The sequence below is a fragment of the Homo sapiens genome, chromosome 13, assembly GCF_000001405.40.
Source record: "Homo sapiens chromosome 13, GRCh38.p14 Primary Assembly".
Taxonomy (NCBI): domain Eukaryota; kingdom Metazoa; phylum Chordata; class Mammalia; order Primates; family Hominidae; genus Homo; species Homo sapiens.
The window spans coordinates 20,723,849-20,744,357 of NC_000013.11; the positions used below are offsets into that span (position 1 = coordinate 20,723,849).

General features: G+C 45.0%; 1 protein-coding gene across 4 annotated transcripts in view, besides 2 other annotated features; it reads right to left on the reverse strand.

Moving 5' to 3' along the window:
* Positions 1 to 4,882: 4,882 nt before the first annotated feature.
* Positions 4,883 to 20,509, reverse strand: part of EEF1AKMT1 (EEF1A lysine methyltransferase 1) — a 45,231-nt gene continuing 29,604 nt past the window's right edge. For 3 of the 4 annotated variants that reach the window (NM_001318939.2, NM_174928.3, XM_017020432.2), the window contains exons 3-5: positions 13,875 to 13,957; positions 7,993 to 8,273; positions 4,883 to 5,368 (exon numbers count right to left, since the gene is read on the reverse strand). In NM_001318939.2, the coding sequence (NP_001305868.1) occupies positions 5,232 to 5,368; positions 7,993 to 8,273; positions 13,875 to 13,957 (501 nt within the window). In that variant the 3' untranslated portion in view covers positions 4,883 to 5,231. The remainder of the gene's footprint in view (positions 5,369 to 7,992; positions 8,274 to 13,874; positions 13,958 to 20,509) is intronic. The other variant, NR_134934.2, reaches the window with a different exon arrangement.
* Positions 5,741 to 6,268: an enhancer, noted in NCBI's record as "H3K27ac-H3K4me1 hESC enhancer chr13:21303728-21304255 (GRCh37/hg19 assembly coordinates)". NCBI's record gives its function as "activates a minimal SCP1, AML or CMV promoter by ChIP-STARR-seq in primed H9 embryonic stem cells {active_cell/tissue: H9 hESC(primed)}" and the evidence as "EXISTENCE:reporter gene assay evidence [ECO:0000049][PMID:30033119]".
* Positions 6,269 to 6,795: an enhancer, noted in NCBI's record as "H3K27ac-H3K4me1 hESC enhancer chr13:21304256-21304782 (GRCh37/hg19 assembly coordinates)". NCBI's record gives its function as "activates a minimal SCP1, AML or CMV promoter by ChIP-STARR-seq in naive H9 embryonic stem cells {active_cell/tissue: H9 hESC(naive)}" and the evidence as "EXISTENCE:reporter gene assay evidence [ECO:0000049][PMID:30033119]".

Here is a 20,509-nt window from a genome sequence, read left to right on the forward strand (position 1 = left end):
CACCGTGTTAGCCAGGATGGTCTCGATCTCCTGACCTCGTGATCCGCCCGCCTCGGCCTCCCAGAGTGCTGGGATTACAGGCGTGAGCCACCGCGCCTGGCCCAGAACTGCCTTTTAAAGCAGCAACTTAGGTGTGTTTTCCGTCATCGCTGCTGTTGTGTAACACTTTCCAGGTCACTCCTCAAATATAAACAGTGCAAGCGTTGGAGGAAGGGCACACAAGGAGAGGAAACTATCTGCATGGGGAAAATGTCATGATTTTATTCACTGCATTAATTATTAGTTTAACCTCAGCTTGCTAAAAGGTAGCACATTCCTAACAGAAGAAATGAGCTTTCCATTTGAAGATCGAGAAAGGCAGCCTGTGTTTTTTCTCTGTACCGTACATTCATCCGCTTAGTGACTATCTACTGGGCACCTGCCTGGTTCTAGTCACCCAGCTCCTGCAAGGCGGCAGTAAGCGAGACAGCCTCCCTCCTCCACTAAAATGATGAAATGGCAAAGCTGCTCAAGCGCCTCGCACCTGAGTGCCGCTCTATGAACCTGCTCCCTTCACCTCACTAAGCTTCATTTTCCTTCCGTGTGAAATGAGGTCACAGCGCCCACCCTGTGAGGATTCAACACTGTTGGTAAAGTGCCTGGCACAGTGCCTGGCACACATGAACACGTGTGGACAGGGACACATCATTGCACTGCAGTCATTCATAAGCCACATTGAAAATAAACATCAAGCTAAGCCTTCTGCATTTTAAACTTATCTTTTATACCAAAAAAAAGTCACTTGTTATGTCGCTTTAGGAGGCATCTGTCACTTACAAGTGACTTTTTTTTTTGTATGAAAGGTAAGTTTAAAATGAAATCGCTGGGCCGGGTGCAGTGGCTTATACCTGTAACCCCAGCACTTTGGGAGGCTGAGGTGGGTGGATCACCTGAGGTCAGGAGTTGGAGACCAGCCTGACCAACATGGTGAAACCCCATCTCTACCAAAAATACAAAAAAATTAGCTGGGCGTGGTGGCGCGCAACTGTAATCCCAGCTACTTGGGAGGCTGAGGCAGGAGAATCACTTGAACCCAGGAGGCAGAGGTTGCAGTGAGCCGAGATCATGCCATTGCACTCCAGCCTGGAAAACAAGAGTGAAACTCCATCTCAAAAAAAAAAAAAAAAAGGCTGGGCACGGTGGCTCACGCCTGTAATCCCAGCACTTTGGGAGGCCAAGGCGGGTGGATCACGAGGTCAGGAGTTTGAGACCAGCCTGGCCAAGATGGTCTCTACTAAAAATACAAAAACCCTGTCTCTACTAAAAATACAAAAATTAGCAGGCGCAGTGGTGGGCGCCTGTAATCCCAGCTACTCAGGAGGCTGAGTGAGACAGGAGAATCGCTTGAACCCAGGAGGCGGGGATTGCAGTGAGCTGAGATCGTGCCACTGCACTCCAGCCTGGGTGACAGAGCAAGACTCCATCTCAAATAATAATAATAATAACTGACAAGTAAAATAATAAACAAATAAAACAAAATCTAGAACTTTAACTGGGCAGCAGCATTTAAATACAGTATGTTGAAATTAGAGGTGGTGGCTAAGCTTGGGAAGGTACTGTTTCAATGAATAACAAGATCTTCTTGGGACAAAATTTTTTTCTCTTGCTAAAACTGAAGGGTTTTTTTTGGTGGGGGGGGGGGTGTTGCAGAGATGGGAGGTTGGTATTGTGTTTTATCAAACAAATAAGGAGGTTTACTGGCTAGATAAACTGTGCCAGCCAAAGTTCAGTGACATCTCCCTCCCTGCTCCCAGATCCACTTGGTTTATTTCACACATTTCCCTCCATGCCTTTCATTCCCAGGATTTGTGGAGGGGCAACACATGATATTGTACATTTCAGAGCTTCTTCCCCTCCTCCCAGAAAAGTGCATGTTTCCTTCACATGAATTCTACCTGGAGGATTCTGTGGCAACCTTTGGAATGGAGGTGCTTTGCTGGTTACTGAAGATCGTTTCCAACTGACAGTATTTCAATTATATACTTGTTCTACAAAAATGGAATCATTTGGGAACAGAAATCCAAAAACACTCTGCAAATACCAACAGTTCCACAGTCAGGGGCCAGTTATCTCATTATGTCTTACCGCATCTCTTCCAGCAGGGCAAAGGGGGGAAATGGTCATTTTTAGTAACTGGTGCCAGCTCTGATTTTAGGAAGGAATGAAAGGAGAAAGAGTACAGAACCCCCATCTGAAATGGGGTCTTAAAGTTCCCCCTGCCTTTCATCTCTTCTTGCTGTTCAGGCCCTCCTCACCCCAGACACGCATCTGAAGAGTTTCTGAGAAGTGCTGGAATTTTGTTAGCAAAACAGAAATTACTCTTCTACCCCTTCCCACTAATCAGGAGGGACTTAAAAAGACGTGGATTAAAACATTCCTTTTAACCTCTGCAGTGCTTTACTAAGGTACAGGAGGTGAGGGAGCCTTGGGGGTTCCAGACGGCATGACTGACCGTGGGTATCACCCAGCCCCGACGCCTCCCACCTCATTAACTGCCCAAAGGAATATACCAGACCTAGTGTGTTTTTTAAAATATAAGGCTGCAGAGGTATAGATGGCCTTTTATGAAACCTAGAAGTGGATCATATATGAACACAGGTTTGCTAAAATCAAAATCACACCAGGGTCCAAAGCCATGAAACACGTTGGCTGCTTATTAAACAAAAAATGCCTTCACCTCATTGCTTAAGCCTCCTAACTTACAATGTTTGTACATTTTTTGAGAGGAATCCAACTTTGTCCCTTCTCTCCCTCACCTCCTGTGAAAAAATAAGGTTTCTCTTTAACTAACCGCTGGATTCATAGGACAACTACAAGTCTGTCATTTCTAGACTACCACTCTCCCACAGGTCCTAAGTCAAACATGGCATTTCTGTACATAACTTGTTACTACAATGTAACAAATTACATACAGAGCAAACCACATATGGAAATAATAAGGTAGGGGTTATTTTTTAAAGAACACTTATTGAAAACTTAACAAAGGCCAGGTGCTTGTACACTGATAAAAATACCAATGTCTCATAAAAAGAGTGATTTTTTTTTCTTTTTTTTGAGATTGAGTTTTGCTTTTGTTGCCCAGGCTGGAGTGCAATGGCACAATCTCAGCTCACTGCAACCTCTGCCTCTGAGGTTCAAGTGATTCTCCTGCTCCAGCCTCCCGAGTAGCTGGGATTACAGGCGCCCAACACCATGCCCAACTAATTTTTGTGTTTTCAGTAGAGACAGGGTTTCACCACGTTGGCCAGGCTGGTCTTGAACTCCTGACCTCAGGTAATCCGCCCACCTCAGCCTCCCAGAGTGCTGGGATTACAGGTGTGAGCCACCACGCCGAAAAGAGTGATTTTTAAAGTAAATTAAAAGTTGTCCAGAAGTCGGGCAGCCGAGGGCTAAGAAACAGCAAGAAAGACCAGGCCTGTCCTCCAGGCTTCCCTGACCCAGGCCTCCTCTCTGGCTCGGTCAGGACAAACTGGGTTTTGCTCCAGTGGGTAATGAGCCCATGGTTCAATGACACAGGCTCATTCCTGGCTCTCCTCGCATCCCTGGTAGATGGGCAGTGGCCCTGCTCCACTCACAGCCAGAGGTTGGAAATGACACATCACTTCCTTTCACATTTTGGGATTTTGTTGTTCTTGTTTTTGAGACAGGGTCTGGCTCTGTCGTTCAGGCTGGAGTGCGGTGGCACATCACGGTTCACGGCAGCCTCGCCCTCTTGGGCTCAGGTGATCTTCCCACCTCAGCCTCCCAAGTGGCTGGGACTACAGGAGTGTGCCACCATGCCCAGCTAATTTTTTTTTTTTTTGTATTTTTGGTAGAGACAAAGTTTTACCATGTTGCCCAGGCTGGTCCCGAACTCCTGGACTCAAGTGATCCATGCTTGCCTTGGCCTCCCAAAGTGTTGGGATTACAGGCATGAACCACAGCACCCTGCCTCCTTTCACATTTTGTTGGCCAAAGCAAGTCTTATGAGGTGGGGAAGTATAATCCTTTCCTAGAAGGAGGACATTAATTTTTTGGAAAGTTTTTATTTCGAAATGATTGTAGATTCCCAGGAAATTGCAAAAATATACTGAGAGGTCTTATGCCCTACACCCAGTTTATCTAATGGTAACATCTTACATAATTATAGTGCAGTGTCACAATCAGAAAATGGACACTGGCTCAACCCACAGATCCCATTCCAAGTTCACCAGTTTCACGCGAGCTCATCTCTGTGTGTGTGTGGTTCTATGCAATGCTGCCACATGCAGATTCATGAAGCCACCACCACAGACAAGATAAAGAACAAGCTACCACCAAGGAGAACTCCCCTTTGTGGCCCGCCCATCCCCTTCGCCCCATCCTGATGCTCCCCCTGCACCCACGAATCTCTCCTCCCTGGGACTGTCATACCTAGAAACATCCAGTGTGTGACCTCTGCGGAGCGGCTTTTTCACTCAGCGTGATGCCCTCGAGACCCAGCCATGCTGTGTGTTCACTTCTGATTGTTGAGACATCCTCTGGGGTATGTACAGAGGAATATTTTCTGAACGGTGAGAATCTAGCACACTCGTCCCAGCTCCATTTTTTGGTCCTGGTGTTTGGTTTACAGATGGGTCTTTCATTTTCTCAGGCAGTTCAGAGGGAGGGTGCTGAGTCTGAGCCACGCAGGGAGGGCACCTGGGCACCTGTCATCCCTCGCAGCCCACCTAGAACCTGGAGGAGGAGGAGAGCTCTAAGAGGCATTCAGACGCTAGTTACTGGATTATTGCCTTTTTGCATGGAGGCAAGTCTGTCTCCTTGGAGGGCTGGGGTGGGACATGGGGGTGGGGTTCCTCACAAGCCCTAGGATGCTACCAGACTGCTCTGGCCCGAGGCAGAGGCCAAGGTCCTGTCTCATTCAGGAGCCCTTGGGCAAGCCACACAACTGTTCTTCTGTTTTTACACATGTTAAATGAGGAGAGAAGATCAGGCAGATTCTAAGGTTTCTTCCAACTCGAATTCCATGGATTCAGGTTGGCAGAAGACTGAGCTCTAGGGACGCCCTCCCTAAGGAAACAATAATGAAGATCGCACACTTTATTTTGAAAACCAGGCCAGGGACAGCTCCAGTTTGGGGGGAGGGGAAGAGATTATAACTTTTAAATCTACTACGAAAATACAAAAAGAGGAATGTGACAGGGTTCCTTCCTGTGTTATGTCACCGTCTGTAATCAGATCCCACAGTCCAGCCCAGAATCATAATTCACATAACAGCGAAACTCATTTGCCAAGTTCCGGGTGTGTCTTGGAACAAACGTGCACATCTTCACTCCAAGGAGTTCTGCTGCCTGTTCTTCCATGATGGCACCTGAAGAGAACAAAGCAAATGAATCCAGAGAGTGACAACCCAGCCGGAGCTCAGTGCGTCCTGAGCTGTGAGAGGGGCTCTAGGCGGACCACCGGTGGCAATTAGTTGACAATTCACAAGTGGGGGGAGGGAGCGAGTGTTCTTTACATTCCCTTTCACCTTCTCCAATATTTTTGCAATTTACCAACTTTTTTCCATGTCTTTTTTATTGAATGAATTATTTTCCTACCTCTGCAAAGCCGAGACACTTAGAAATTTAGAAGCAGATTATACACACACACACACACACACGTACTATATATATATACACACATATGGAAAGCAAAAATAATTACTAAAAACTACATTTCCCAACGTTGAGCCAAGAGCCTTTTTCAGTAATATCCAATCTTGCAAACACAGGTGCGAATGTATTGCCACTCCCTTTTGCCATCTGCTCCCAATTTCTCCCCGCCCTGGGCCCACAGCGCACAGCCAGCTCCCCTGCGACATCCCCACAGGAGGTGGCATCCACAGCCCTGATTCCTCTCCTCTCTTCCCCTCCACACTCAAATACAGCAAGCTCTCTCAACTTCATCTTCAAAGTATCTCTTTGACGCCCCTGCCCTGCCCTCCTTGCAGGCCACCGCCCTCCCTGGGGTGCAGCAACAGCCCGCGGTGCCCAGGTCCACGTGCCCCAAAACCTCGGTCAAGTTAAAGCGAACGTCTTACGTCTTCAGACAAGTTGCGTCCCGTCGCCTTGGGCTTCTGAAGAAAACCCCAATGCCCACGGTCCCCTGTTAGGCACTGGGGGCCTCCTGCCCCGACTCTGCCCTCCCGGGCCGCTGTGGCCGTGGCTCCTGACCCCTCAGGTCCCTGGGGCAAAGTGCAGATCCCTGGGTCTCTGTTACTCTTCTCAGAGTTAGTGCTTCCAGCCTTTAGTCTATTTTATTATTATTTTTTAAAAGTATCCCCTGAAACTAAAATGCACACTCCATGAGGCCAGAGCGCTGCCTGCTGGTGCACAGAGCACTGCAGAGAGCTCAAGGAAGCAACGGAGTGAATAAGCGTGCAGGCAACCACGGCATCTGTGCGAACAGAGCGCCCCTTCCCACACACGCAGCTCTGCAACACCAGAACAGCTTCCCGTGGCTCCACTCCTGGCCCAGCCCTGTTCCCAGCAGGGTGCCCAGGGGACAAGCGCGGCCCGGAGGGACTGGGGTATAGCGTCCACAACAGCACTCAAGGGTGTGGACACCACAGGTACCCAGAAATAAAGAGACGGGTCAGTTGGTAAGGTTTCAGTTCTCAGAATTTTTTTTTCTTTGAGACAATCTTGCTCCCTGCCCAGGCTGAAGTGCAGTGGCACCATCAGAGCTCACTGTAGTCTCGACCTTCAGAGATCAAGCAATCATCCCACTGAGAGGTGAAGCCAGCTGGACTTCCTGGGTCTAGTGGGGACTTGGAGAACTTTTCTGTCTAGCTAGAGGATTGTAAACACACCAATCAGCACTCTGTAAAATGGACCAATCAGCACTCTCTGAAAAATGGACCAATCAGCACTCTGTAGAATGGACCAATAAGCAGGACGTGGGCAGGGACAAACGAGGGAATAAAAGCTGGCCACCCCGCAGCCAGCAGTGCAACCAGGTGTTGTCCTCTTCCATGGTGTGGAAGGTTTGTTTTTTGCTCTTCATAATAAAGCTTGCTGTTGCTCACTCTTTGGGTCCACACCAACTTTAAGGTCTGTAACACATACCGCAAGGGTCTGCCGCTTCTTTCCTGAAGTCAGCGAGACCACGAACCCACCAGGAAGAAAAAACAATTCCGGAGGTGCCGCCTTTAAGAGCTGTAACACCACGAGGTCTGTGGCTTCATTCTTCAAGTCAGTGAGACCAAGAACCGATCAGAAGGAAGAAACTGCAGACACACCACCTCCATCTCCCAAATGGCGGGGAGGCCCATGCAACCACACCTGGCTAATGTTTAAAATTTTTGTAGAGATGGAGTCTTGCTGTGTTGCCCAGCCTGGTCTAGAACTCCTTGCCTCAAGTAATCCTCCCACCTTGAAGTTCTCAGATTTACTCTATTGAATTTTACCATATCTGCCTTAAGTGTATCAAACCCAGCTTGGTGGCACACACCTGTAAGTTCCAGCTACTTGGGAGGCTGAGGTGGGAGGACGGCTTAGCCCAATGGTTTGAGGTTACAGAGAGAAAAAAAGTATAACGATCTCGCCAGTAAGAAAACTCTTCTACATTAACCCAATCTAATGTCTACTCTGTAACCTCAGGCAATTCACTTAAACTCTATAGATTCCAAATTTCTCTTTGATAAAGGGTAGAGGCTGGATAAGATACCGATAGTATTGATGATGGTATGTAAAAGTAACAGCTGACATTCATCAAGTAGTCACCATGCACCAGACCCAGTGTTGGGTACTTTGTGTCACTTAATTCTTTAGGACCCTTAATGGCAGAGTATTATCAGTCCTAGTTTACAGATAAGGAATCCAGGGCACAAAGAGTTAAATAACTTGTTCACAAGTCACACAGGAAGTGGTGGACTCAGGATTTTTTCTTGACCCTGAAGACCTGAATAGCCACTGTCAGTGACTTTGATGAGATATGAAATGCAGCACCTACCTGTGCACAGCAGAATCTTGCCCCGCGTCAGGTACTTGACGGTTTCCGATGTTTTTCTGAGACATTCCTCCGAAAGATAGGGAGGATCTGCTATTACGATGTCAAAACTATGTGCAGCAATTCTTTCGGGTAAGTCCAATGGATTATTGTAATCATAGAAAATAAACTCCTCTCCATACATGGCAAATCTTTTGTCATATTCAAAGATGTATATCGAAAAGTTTTCTCTGCACAGCTCTCTGAGTTTCTGGTAAACACTAGGGGCACTCACACATGCGATTCTAGGAGACAAAATGAACACACCATGAAACATCCTTAACAGAGAGATTACGGTGTTAACAACTTCTTCACTAAACAATACATGGGTCCGAGTGCTCAGAGTTTCTTACAGGAAACAATAATGCAAACTAGTGTAATAGTTAATGTTGAGAAAAAACTTTATAGTGTCTCACTTTTAAGGAATCTGGTACTTAAAAGTCTGTAACTTATAATTTTTTTTCTTTTTTTTTGAGATGGAGTCTCACTCTGTTGCCAAGGCTGGAGGGAAGTGGCGTGATCTCGGCTCACTGCAACCTCTGCCTCCTGGGTTCAAGCTATTCTCCTGCTATTCCTCCCAAGTAGCTGGGATTACAGGCACGCGCCACTGCGCCTGGCTAATTTTTTTGTATTTTTAGTAGAAATGGGGTTTCATCATGTTGGCTAGGCTGGTCTTGAACTCCTGACCTCAGGTGATCAGCCTGCCTCGGCCTCCCAAAGTGCTGGGATTACAGGCATGAGCTACCGCGCCTGGCCTATAGCTTATAATTTTGAGGTATGAAAGGCTATAGTTTTTATAGTGAAAAATGTAAAATATCAGGAACACATTATGACAAAATTTAGATGTAGTTAGCCCAAAGCCTAAATTTACCTATTATTTTCATGCTAGGCCTTTGATATTTATTTTAAATACTTTTTGTCCCAACTAAATACTATAAAGTCATTTTGTAATATTCATGATCTTGAAAGATAAACCCAAATAACTCCCCAACTCACTCCAGTTTTCCATAAAGATACATTAAAATGTGCTCTCACTGCAGACAAGCTATTCTGAATTTCTGCTTTGCTTCTTTTTTGTATAAGGAAATTAAAGTATCTATCTCATTACAGCAGCCCAGTTTATGAATGGGTAGTGTTTTAAGAGTTAACTGTTAAAACCAACTGCCAAAAAGCTAGAAGTAACCTAAATACGGAATTATTGAGTTGACTGTGATACACTTTTTTTTTTTTTTTTTTTGAGACAGGGTCTCACTCTGTTGCCCAGGCTGGAGTGCAGTGGCATGACTTCGGCTCACTGAAACCTCTGCCTTCCGGGTTCAAGCGATTCTCCTGCCTCAGCCTCCTGAGTAGCTGGGATTACAGGCACCCGCCACCACGCCTGGCTAATTTTTGTAATTTTAGCAGAGACGGGGTTTCACCATCTTGGCCAGGCTGGTCTTGAACTCCTGACTTCATGATCCACCTGCCTTGGCCTCCCAAAGTACTGAGATTACAGGTGTGAGCCACCGTGCCTGGCCACTAATTATTTTTATAGAGACAGGGTTTTGCCACTTTACCCAGGCTGGTCTCAAACTCCAGAGCTCAACATCTGCCTGCCTTGACCTCCTAAAGGAGGCGTGAGCCACTGTGCCCAGCTGGTATGCCTATTACAATGGAAAGTTCTGTGGCCATTTAAAAAAGGCTGAAGCAGCCCTCTCTATGCTGATAAGGAATGATCTCTGAGATCTATTCAAGGAACAGAACAGTGTGAAGTATGCTTTCATGGGAGTGGGAATATATGCATATAGATGTACAGGTGACCTCTAGAAGGTGTCCAAGAGACAGTGACCATGACTGCCTCATGGGAGAGTGCCTGGGGGACCTGGATACAATAGAGAAGAGAGTGACCTTTTCTCACAATTCCTTTGTCACGTTTGGATTTTTATATGTGCATACACTGTCATTCAAAAAAGGACCTAATTTAAAAATTACGCTCAGCTTTAAAAATGTGTGACGCATTTCCAACAGAGACAGTGTTACCCGTCTTACTTAGGTACCCATGCCGGGCTAAGCAGGCTTCTCAGCCCAAAGACACTGCAACAGATAATAGAACCCGTGACATCGCATAATGTTTCTTTGGAAACATGTGTTTCCCTGCTGGCAGGACACAACTCTCCCTGCACAGCAGCTCTAGATCAGGGCGGTAGGAGGGGGAAAAGAAGCTGGAGTACAGTGGGATTATAGCCTCACTGTGCTGACAGAGAATGAACTGCAACCAAAGATTATATATGCACACTATGAAAACATCTTCCGATAAAAAAGGTGAAATAAAGATATTTTCAGACAACAAAATTGCCTCCAGCAGGCATTCCCTGAGAAATCCACCTGAAGGATGTACTTCAGGTAGGACAGTGGTCCAGGATGCAAGAAGGGATGGGAGCAGAAAGACCGGTGGGTCTGGTGGGGATGGTGGTGGTTACCAGGCAGCAGTGGGATCAGAGAACCTGTGTTGAAAGCCTAGCTTTGCCACTTCCCACTGGGTGACCTTCTGCAAGTGGCTGAACTTCTGGTCTCAGTGTCTGTCTTTAAACTAGAGCGTGTAAGAGGAACTATTGCACAGAGATACGAGGATAGAATGAGATGACCCTGACAACGCACTTACAACAGGAGAGGGCACACAGTAAGCACTCAATAAATGCGGTTCTCATTCATCTTTATTTTATTATTTATTTATTTATTTATTTATTTATTTATTTGAGACGGAGTCTCGCGCTCACGCTCAGGCTGGAGTGCGGTGGCGGGATCTTGGCTCACTACAAGCTCCGCCTCCCGGGTTCACGCCATTCTCCTGCCTCAGCCTCCCGAGTATCATCTTTAAATGATGACTTAGTTCCTATGAATACTGAAGTTGACTTTCAAAGGAGGTTAAAAGTTGCTTCCAAGGCCCTCATATTAGTGGCAAAAAAGAAAGTATATCTAAAAGCAGTGTCACTAAGAAAAACCTACTAAACCACTACATATAATCAAAAAAAGAAAAAGAACAGTTAAAAGAAAAATGGAAGATTTCCCACTAAAGATGGCAGATTGAACACATTCATTTACATTTGCTCCCTCATGAAAGCCCACTAAAAACAAGAGTGCAATTTCATGTTGTCTTATTTAGGAATACAAGAGCAAAAACCAAAGGGCATGTCAGCGGAGACTAAGGAAATCACACTGAGCAAGCGGAACAGCAGATGGGTGGGTAGTGGGGCTCGGCAGACCTGCAATGGCCGAATCCTACACTGGCAGTTGGAAAGCTGAGAAGCGCCCTGGTTCACGTGGTGGCATACCCGAGGGCTCAGGATGCGACAGAACCCGGTAACTCAAGAAGCAGAGGTGAAGGTGGGGCCAAAACTGGGAGGTTTTACTGAAAGGCCTATTTTAAGAAGCAATTCATTCTCAGGATTCTCTGCTATATCCCAAAGCCTGCCCCCCACCATGACTGTGGCAGAAAACTGGAGGAGTGTTGTCTGGATGGGGGGGATGCTTGGAAGGAAGATGCCAGGCACAGCGGTTGATGATGTACCATGTGGAAATTAGGAGGATTAAGTTAAACGCATTGGATGATGAAACTTCCAGGCTTTCAGTCACATGCCTCCAAGGATGATGCCCACTAGATGTATAACTTCCAGTCAGGAATTAGGAGAATCTTCCCTGGACCACTGACAAAACTACAAGAAAAGTCTTAGACACGGGGGTTCCCTAGGAGAACGGCTCATTCAGATGCTCCAACTGTAGAGATCAAAGCAGATGAGGCTCCCAGTTTTCGAGTGCCCCACCCTTCAATGTCCACAGACATTTAAGGAACATAGATTAGATAAATATATCATATGAAATTAACAAACAGAAAAAGCATTTTGGAGTAAATAGAGACTATGGAGGGAGAAGAGAACTTTAAAAAATTCTATAATATCCTCAAAAGGATGAACAAGACACAATAATAAAGAAATACTCAAAGACCAAAAAAAGAGCTGCAGACAATTCCAAGCATGGAAGCAGATATGGTAAACTCAGTAGAAAGTTTAGAAGATAAAGTGGAGGAATTCTCCCAGAAAGTAGACAATGAATAGAAAAAGAAGAAAATTAGAAGATCAGGTCCAATATTCAAAGAATAGAAGTTCCAAAAATAGGAACAGAAAAAAAAAGTGGGGAAAGAAATAATTTAAGATAATTTTCTTAAACTGAAGGACATGTGTGTTGAGGATGAATGGGCCCTCTAGGACCCAGGACAATAGATAAAAACTCCACAGCGAGGCACATTGAATACCGGGGATTAAGAGAAAATCCTAAGCTTGCTGTGGGCATGGTTAGAAAAAAGCAAGTTTCCTATAAGAAATCAGAATGATACTGGATTTGTCAGCAGCATGTATGGAAGTTTGGAGACAATGGAGCAACGCCTTCAAAACCTGGAATGTGCTGTCCAACAAAACCATCACAATCAAGAGGAAGGGTAGGAAAAAAGCATTTTCAAACACGAAAGGTTCTAAAAACTTCCCTCCTACGTGCCTTTTCTGTAGCAGCTATCGGAGGAGGTATGCCACCATGGTAAGGCTGTAAACTAAGGATCGGAGTACAGGAAATAGGGAATCTAGAACAAAAGACAGGTATAAGGACTCCAGCATGATGATGAAGGGCGATACCAAGAAAAGAGGTGTCGTAAAACCAGCGCAAGACCATGCACACTGGGACAGGTTGCAGAGCCCTGGGAATAGGGTTTTTTTAAAAAAGAAGTTGAAATATGTTTGAACTTACTGATAGGATATTTAGACAAGAGAGTTTGGGGGTTAATCAGGGATACGGATATAGAATACATTAAGCCTTTTAGAACCATTTGACTTTTTTTTTTTTTTTTTTTTTTGAGACAGAGTCTCACTCTGTCTCCCAGGCTGGAGTGCAGTGGTGTGATCTTGGCACACTGCAACCTCTGCCTCCCACGTTCAAGCAATTCTCCTGCCTCAGCCTCTTGAGTAGCTGGGATTACAGGATGCACCACCACGCCCAGCTAATTTTGTATTTCATAGAGAAAGGGTTTCACCATGTTGTCCAGGCTGGTCTCAAACTCCGAACCTCAGGTGATCCGCCCGCCTTGGCCTCCCAAAGTGCTGGGATTTCAAGCATGAGCCACCACGCCCAGTCACCATTTGACTATTTATATGCATGCAAGGTTCTGATAAAAATAAAAACCAGGCCAGGCACGGTGGCTCATGCCTGTAATCCCAGCACTTTGGGAGCCTGAGGCAGGTGGATCACAAGGTCAGGAGTTCGAGACCAGCCTGGTTAATATGGTGAAATCCCATCTCTACTAAAAATACAAAAATTAGGTGGGCATGGTGGTGTGTGCCTGTAGTCCCAGCTGCCTGGGAGGCTGAGGCAAGAGAATTGCTTGAATCTGGGAGGCGGAGGTTGCAGTTAGCCAAGATCGCACCACTCTGCACTCCAGCCTGGGCAACAGAGTGAGACTCCGTCTCAAAATAAATAAATACATACATACATATATACATATCAAATTAACAAAAAAGAAAATCTATATTCTTAAAACTTCAAAAAGGTAAGATATTCTCTTTTGAACTGAGCTCTATAACTATAAAGATAAGAAACAGGTTAGAAAATGTTAAAAGGAAGAGATAAGACATTCCACAATGAATAGGTTTCTGAGTGGGTCTCTAAACTCAGTGTTGAAGCTGGTCTTAATCTGTCATATGCTGCAAACCATGATCTACAATATTTACAGATTATAGTTCAGACTTCTTACAAACCATCTGTCATCCAGGAAAGACATTCAAAATATTACATTAGATGCCAAAAAGAGAAAATTTGAATCTCACCTGCCACCTTCTCCTACAGCTGCAATTGCCTCCTGTGCCAGCTGCAGAGCAGTTTCCTGACTATACCAAAACTGGCTCAGTTGCTGTAACCGAGAAATAGGTTGATAGCATTTTAGAACTGGCATAAGCTTTGTTCTTTTAATTTATATATAATCTATACCAGTGGACAGATATTTTGTTCTTTTAATTTATATATAATCTATACCAGTGGACAGATATTTTTAAAAAGTTTTTCTTTTGAAAATTAATTTTTCTTCGAAATTACTTTAAATTAATACAAGCCCCTAATGAATTAATGAAATCTAGGCACTGAGTATCAACGGCTATTACCACCACAAAAGGAGACAACCAATGTTTTTCCCGATAGAACATACCCCTACCTTTGTGTGAGTTTTGCCAAAAAAATAAAATAGACCTTGAATCTGATTAAGCTTCTAGGTTCAACCAGCAATGAAGAGAATTACAAACACAGAGGATGGAAGAATGAGTTCACTAACACCAGAGGATGCAATCAGCAAAATCCAGACTGTGCTCCTTGCCCACAGCCTCATCTTACCTTATGCATGTTTCCTCAATTACTTGTTTTTCCCTTGGGGGCAAGTTTGTTTTTCATCTTGCTCCTTCTGCTTCATGCTGATTGGTGATTTTTAAAAAATTTCTAGTGATCTTTATCTATTCATAGTTATAAATTAAGCAGGAGTTTAATGGAAGAAGTAGCATGGTTTTCCTCTGCAATCCTACAAACCTATTTCTCCAACAGGCCTCTCTTCCCTGAATGGCAGGCTCGGGGCAGCCAGTTGCATGGGGCATGCCAACTGGGGGGTTCTCTGCTTTAAAAATCTGCCCTGTGTGGAAACAACTCAAGTGCCCATCAACTAATGGATAGAAAAAATGTGGTACACCCCTACAATGAAATATTATTTGGCCATAAAAAGGAACAGGGTACTGATATATGCTACATGGATGAGTCTTGGAAACATTACACTGAACGAAAGAAATCAGACACCAAAGGCCACATACTGTGTAATTCTGTTTATATGAAATGTCCCGAGTAGCAAGTCTACAAAGACAGTAGATTAGTGGTTGCCAGGTGTTGGGAGGATTGAGGGATTAGGAGGTGACAGCTGAAAAACATATGGTTTCTTTTAGACGCAACGAAAATGTTCTAAAATTGACTGTGGTGATAGTTGTGTGTCCGGAATTGGTGGGTTCTTGGTCTCACTGACTTCAAGAATGAAGCTGTGGACCCTCACGATGAGTGTGACAGTTCTTAAAGATAGTGTGCCCAGAGTTCCTTCCTTCTGATGTTCAGACGTATTCAAAGTTTCTTCCTCCTGGGGGGGTCGTGGTCTCGCTGGCTTCAGGAGTGAAGCTGCAGACCTTCGCCAAGAGGATTACAACTCCTAAGATGGCACATCTGGAGTTGGTAGTTCCTCCCATCCGAAGTTGTTCTTTGCTCCCAGTGGGTTGGTAACTTCGCTGGTTTCAGGAGTGAAGCTGGAGACCTTCACGGTGAGTGTTACAGCTCATAAAGGCAACGCAGACCCAAACAGTGAGCAGCAGTAACATTTATTGTGAGGAGCAAAAGAACAAACCTTCCACAGCATGGAAGGCAACCCAAGAGGGTTGCCGCCGCTAAGCAGGGGCAGCCTGCTTTTATTCCCTTATCTGACCCCACCCACATCCTGCTGATTGGTCCATTTTACAGAGAGCTGATTGGTCTGTTTTACAGAGAGCTGATTGGCCCATTTTATAGAGAGCTGATTGGTCTGTTTTGACAGGGTGCTGATTGGTGCATTTACAAACCTTGAGCTAGACACAGAGTGCTGATTGGTGCATTTACAATCCTCTAGCTAGACGTAAAAGTTCTCCAAGTCCCCACCAGATTAGCTAGACACAGAGCACTGATTGGTGCATTTACAAACCTTGAACTAGGCACAGAGTGCTGATTGGTGAGTTTACAATCCTTTAGCTAGACACAAAAGTTCTCCAAGTCCCCACTAGATTTGCTAGACACAGAGCACTGATTGGTGTGTTTACAATCTTTTAGCTAGATACAGAGTGCTGATTGGTGCATTTACAATCCTCTAGCTAGACATAAAAATTTTCCAAGTCCCCACCTGACTCAGGAGCCCAGCTGGCTTCACCTAGTGGATCCAGCACTGGGGCCACAGGCAGAGCTGCCCACCAGTCCCATGCCATGTGCCAGTGCTTCTCAGCCCTTGGGCAGTTGATGCGACTGGGCCCCGCAGAGAAGGGGCGGCACCCGTCAGGGAGGCTCAGGCTGCGCGGGAGCCCATGGTGGGGGAGGAGGCTCGGGCATGGTGGGTTGTAGGTCCTGAGCCCTGCCCTGCGGGGAGACAGCTGAGGGCCGGCGAGAATTCAAGCACAGCGCAGGTGGGCCGGTAGTGCTGGGATCCGGCGCACCCTCTGCAGTTGCTGGCCTAGGTGCTAAGTCCCTCACTGCCTGGGGGCCAGCGGTGCCAGCCGGCTGCTCCGAGTGCGGGGCCTGCCAAGCCCGCACCCACCTGGAACTCGTGCTGGACTGCGAGTGCCACGCACAGCCCCAGTTTCCGCCCACGTCTCTCCCTCCACACCTCCCTGCAAGCGGAGGGAGCCGGCTTCGGCCTCGGCCACCTCAGAGAGGGGCTCCCACAGTGCAGCAGCAGGCTGAAGGGCTCCTCAACAGTGGCCAGAGTGGGCGCTGAGGCCGAGGAGGTGCCAAGAGCAAGCGAGGGCTACCAGCACACTGTCACCTCTCAGTTGGACCTATCTGTGAATTTACTAAAAACCACTGACTTGCCGGGTGTGGTGGCTCACGCCTGTAATCCCAGCACTTTGGGAGGCCAAGGCGGGAGGGTCCTGAGGCCAGGAGTTGGAGCCAGCCCAGTCAACATGGTGAGACCCTGCTTCTACTAAAAATACAAAATATTAGCCAGGTGTGGTAGCATGTGCCTGTAATCCCAGCTACTCGGGAGACTGAGGCAGGAGAATCGCTTGAACCTGGGAGGCGGAGGTTGCAGTAAGCCAAGATTGCACCATTGCACTCCAGCCTGGGCGACAGAGGGAGACTCAGTCTCAAAACAAAAAAACCATTGACTTCTACACTTTTAAAAGGTGAATTTATGGTATGTGAATTATATCTCAACAAAACTGAGATCTGCTTAAATAAGGAGAGCTTTACTCAGAGTATGGAGGACTTTTGTGTACTTCCTTCCTGAATGGAGCTGCCTTTTTCCTTCTTTCTATGCTATGGTGGAGCTCTGGAGTTATCTTAGATTCTATTCTGTGTCTCTTTCTGGCTTTCCTACCCAAATTAGGGCATCCCAAAGCAGATTCTCCAGTTTGTTTAGTGAAAAATCCTCAGAGATTCAGCCTGGAGGTGAGTACCTCGGATTCTATGTATGCCTTCTGGATATGATCAGAAGAAGGGGAAGAGACCAACTGGCCCAAAGATGCCAGCAGGCCATCCTTTAATTACTCAAGCAGAAATCGGCCCATGAGCCACTTTTACCACTTATGTTCACAGGTTCTGAGTTTGGAACCCAGAGTCTCTGTTTCTTTTCTGGAAGACAGACTCTCATCTTTGCTCCAGTTCCCAGAGAGGCTGGTAGTTTTCTCTGCTGTTCCATAGACCATCTTACACCCACTTTCTTTCTTTTTTCCAGAAATTTACTGAAATTTCTGTCAATAGCATCCTTTGTTTGTTTGTTGTTTTTTAACATTGTAATTACTTTTTTTTTTTTTTTTTTTGAGATGGAGTCTTGCTCTGTCGCCAGGCTGGAGTACAGTGGTGCAATCTCAGCTCACTGCAACCTCCATCTCCCGGATTCAAGCAGTTCTCCTGCCTCAGCCTCCCGAGTAGCTGGGATTACAGGTGCACACCACCACACCCAGCTAATTTTTGTATTTTTAGTAGAGATGGGGTCTCATCATGTTGGCCAAGATGGTCTCAATCTCTTGACTTCGTGATCTGCCTCCTCAGCCTCCCAAAGTGCTGGGATTACAGGGGTGAGCCACCGCGCCCAGCCTGTAATTACTTTTTAAAAACATCTTTACTCTTCATTCAATGAAAGAGAAAAGTGATCATTCATATGACCAGTCTACCATCTTGAGTCAGAAGGTAACAATCTTACTTAGTACACAAATTTTACCTCTTCAGACTTAACTTTGTAACCTAACATTGTAAGACATCATAGCTGAGTTTCTTAAATAAAACTAAGAAACTTACACTTGACCCTTCCAGAGTTTATTTCCCTTTTGATAGTGATTTAATTATTCCTGTTACAAACATGCTACAATGAGTATTCTAAATATTCCTTTTTGTATACATGTGCATATAAAAATCTCTGTGTAGAGATTTTTAGAAATGGAATTCGTGGTTGAAGGGCATATACAGTTAATATTTTGGTAGATATTGCCAAATTGCCCTCCAAAAAGGTTGGACCAATTAAAATGACTACTAACATTTTACTCTTAATTTGCATTTCCCTGTTGTACAGTTGAGTATCTTTTCCTATATTTAATTTTTATTTTTATTTTTATTTTGTCAATTGTTGCTAGCATTCCCTAATTTTCCACTGGGTTTACTGTTTTATTATTGATTTGTAGAAGATCTTTATACAGTCTTTGAGAAAAAAAAAATGACAGGTGTCAAATAGAACTAGCTTGCAACTAGGACCTAGGCCCAGATGTTCCCTACTTAACAGAAACTATTTCAAAGAACACCAACATCAGACTGAGTTATTCCTGTGATGGGGCAAGATAAAAATATGACCATTCTGTAATCACATCTGAGTACAGATAAAACAAGAACACTGTGCAAATCACAAAAATGACCATGAATGTCTCTTTCCCAGGTAACATGAGTGCCTGCTGATACTTTACCAATTACACCTTTAACTCCATTTGATTCCTCCCACCTCCTACATAATAATTATTCTGGCTTTCTGACAAAGTTGCTCCAACACCTAACGCAAGCCAAACTCACAGAATAATCTCCTCTTAGCTGCCTCTTACTGAGCTGTCCCACAGGCTGCCCATGGTCCTCAGCCTCTCTTGTTGCAACAAGTAACAGACCCCACTCTGTTTGCCTACAGGTGTGTTTCCTGGTATCTTTGGCTGGTGGGCATGGACATCTGGATATTAATCCTTTGCTCTCATGCATGAGACAAATATTTTCTCCTCGTCTTTCTCTTGTCTCTTAAACTTGTTTATGGTATCTTCTGTTATCAATACGTTTATTTTGTCAATGTTATCAATCTTCTCCTTTATGATTCTTAGTTTTGAGTTGTTTTTCTACCTTAGATCATAAAATATTATCCTATATTTTCTTTTAATACTTTTATTATTTACTTTTATTGAGACAGAGTCTCACTCTGTTGCCCAGCCTGGAGTGCAGTGGCGCAATCTCAGCTCACTACAACCTCCACCTCCGAAATTGAAGCGATTCTCCTGCCTCAGCCTCCCAAGTAGCTGGGATTACAGGTGTCCATTACTGGGCCTGGCTAATTTTTGTATTTTTAGTAGAGAGGAGGTTTCACCATGTTAACCAGGCTGCTCTCAAACTCCTGACCTCAAGTGATCTGCCTGCCTTGGCCTCCCAAAGTGCTGGGATTATAAGCGTGAGCCAACGTGCCTGGCTAATACTTTTATTATTTTTATGTTTAGCTTTTTAATCCACCTTGACTTTAATTTTGTGTGTGGATTATAAAGATTGAATTTTTTTTTCCAAATCTAGGATGCATCAGGACTCAATTTACATCTGTCACTTTCTCTCAGTGGGTTTCCTTGACTTCCCCTCCACCTCAAAAGTCTGGGGAGGTGTCTTGCATTTTGCTCCCCATTTTGCTCCAATCATCACTTTTGTCTTAGAATAGTTTGCTTGAGAGCAAGGGCAGTGTTTTATTTATTGTTACACTACACTTGACCTTGTGCTTTTTTTTTTTTTTTCTCGTATTTTTATTTTACTTTAAGTTCTGGGATACATGTGCAGAATGTGCAGGTTTGTTGCATAGGTATACATATGCCATGGTGGTTTGGGGCACTAATCAACCCATCATGTAGGTTTTAAGCCCCACATGCATGAGGTATTTGTCCTAATGCTCTCCCTTCCCTTGTCCCCCACCCCCTGACAGGCCCCACTGTGTGATGTTCCCCTCCCTATGTCCATGCCATGTGTTCTCATTGTTCAATTCCCACTTATGAGTGAGAACAAGCGGTGTTTGGTTTTCTGTTCCTGTGTTAGCTTGCTGAGAATGATGGCTTCCACCTTCATCCATATCCCTGCAAAGGACATGAACTCATCCTTTTTTATGGCTGCATAGTATTCCATGGTATATATGTGCCACATTGTCTTAATCCAGTCTGTCACTGATGGGCATTTGGGTTGGTTCCAAGTCTTTGCTACTGTAAACAGTGCTGCAATAAACATATGTGTGCATGTGTCTTTATAGCAGAATGACATAATCCTTTGGGTATATGCCTAGTAATGAGTCAAATGGTATTTCTCGTTCTAGAGCCTTGAGGAATCGCCACACTGTTTTCCACAATGGTTGAACTAATTTACACTCCCACCAACAGTGTAAAAGCATTCCTATTTCTCCACAGCTGTGCCAGCCTGTTGTTTCCTGACT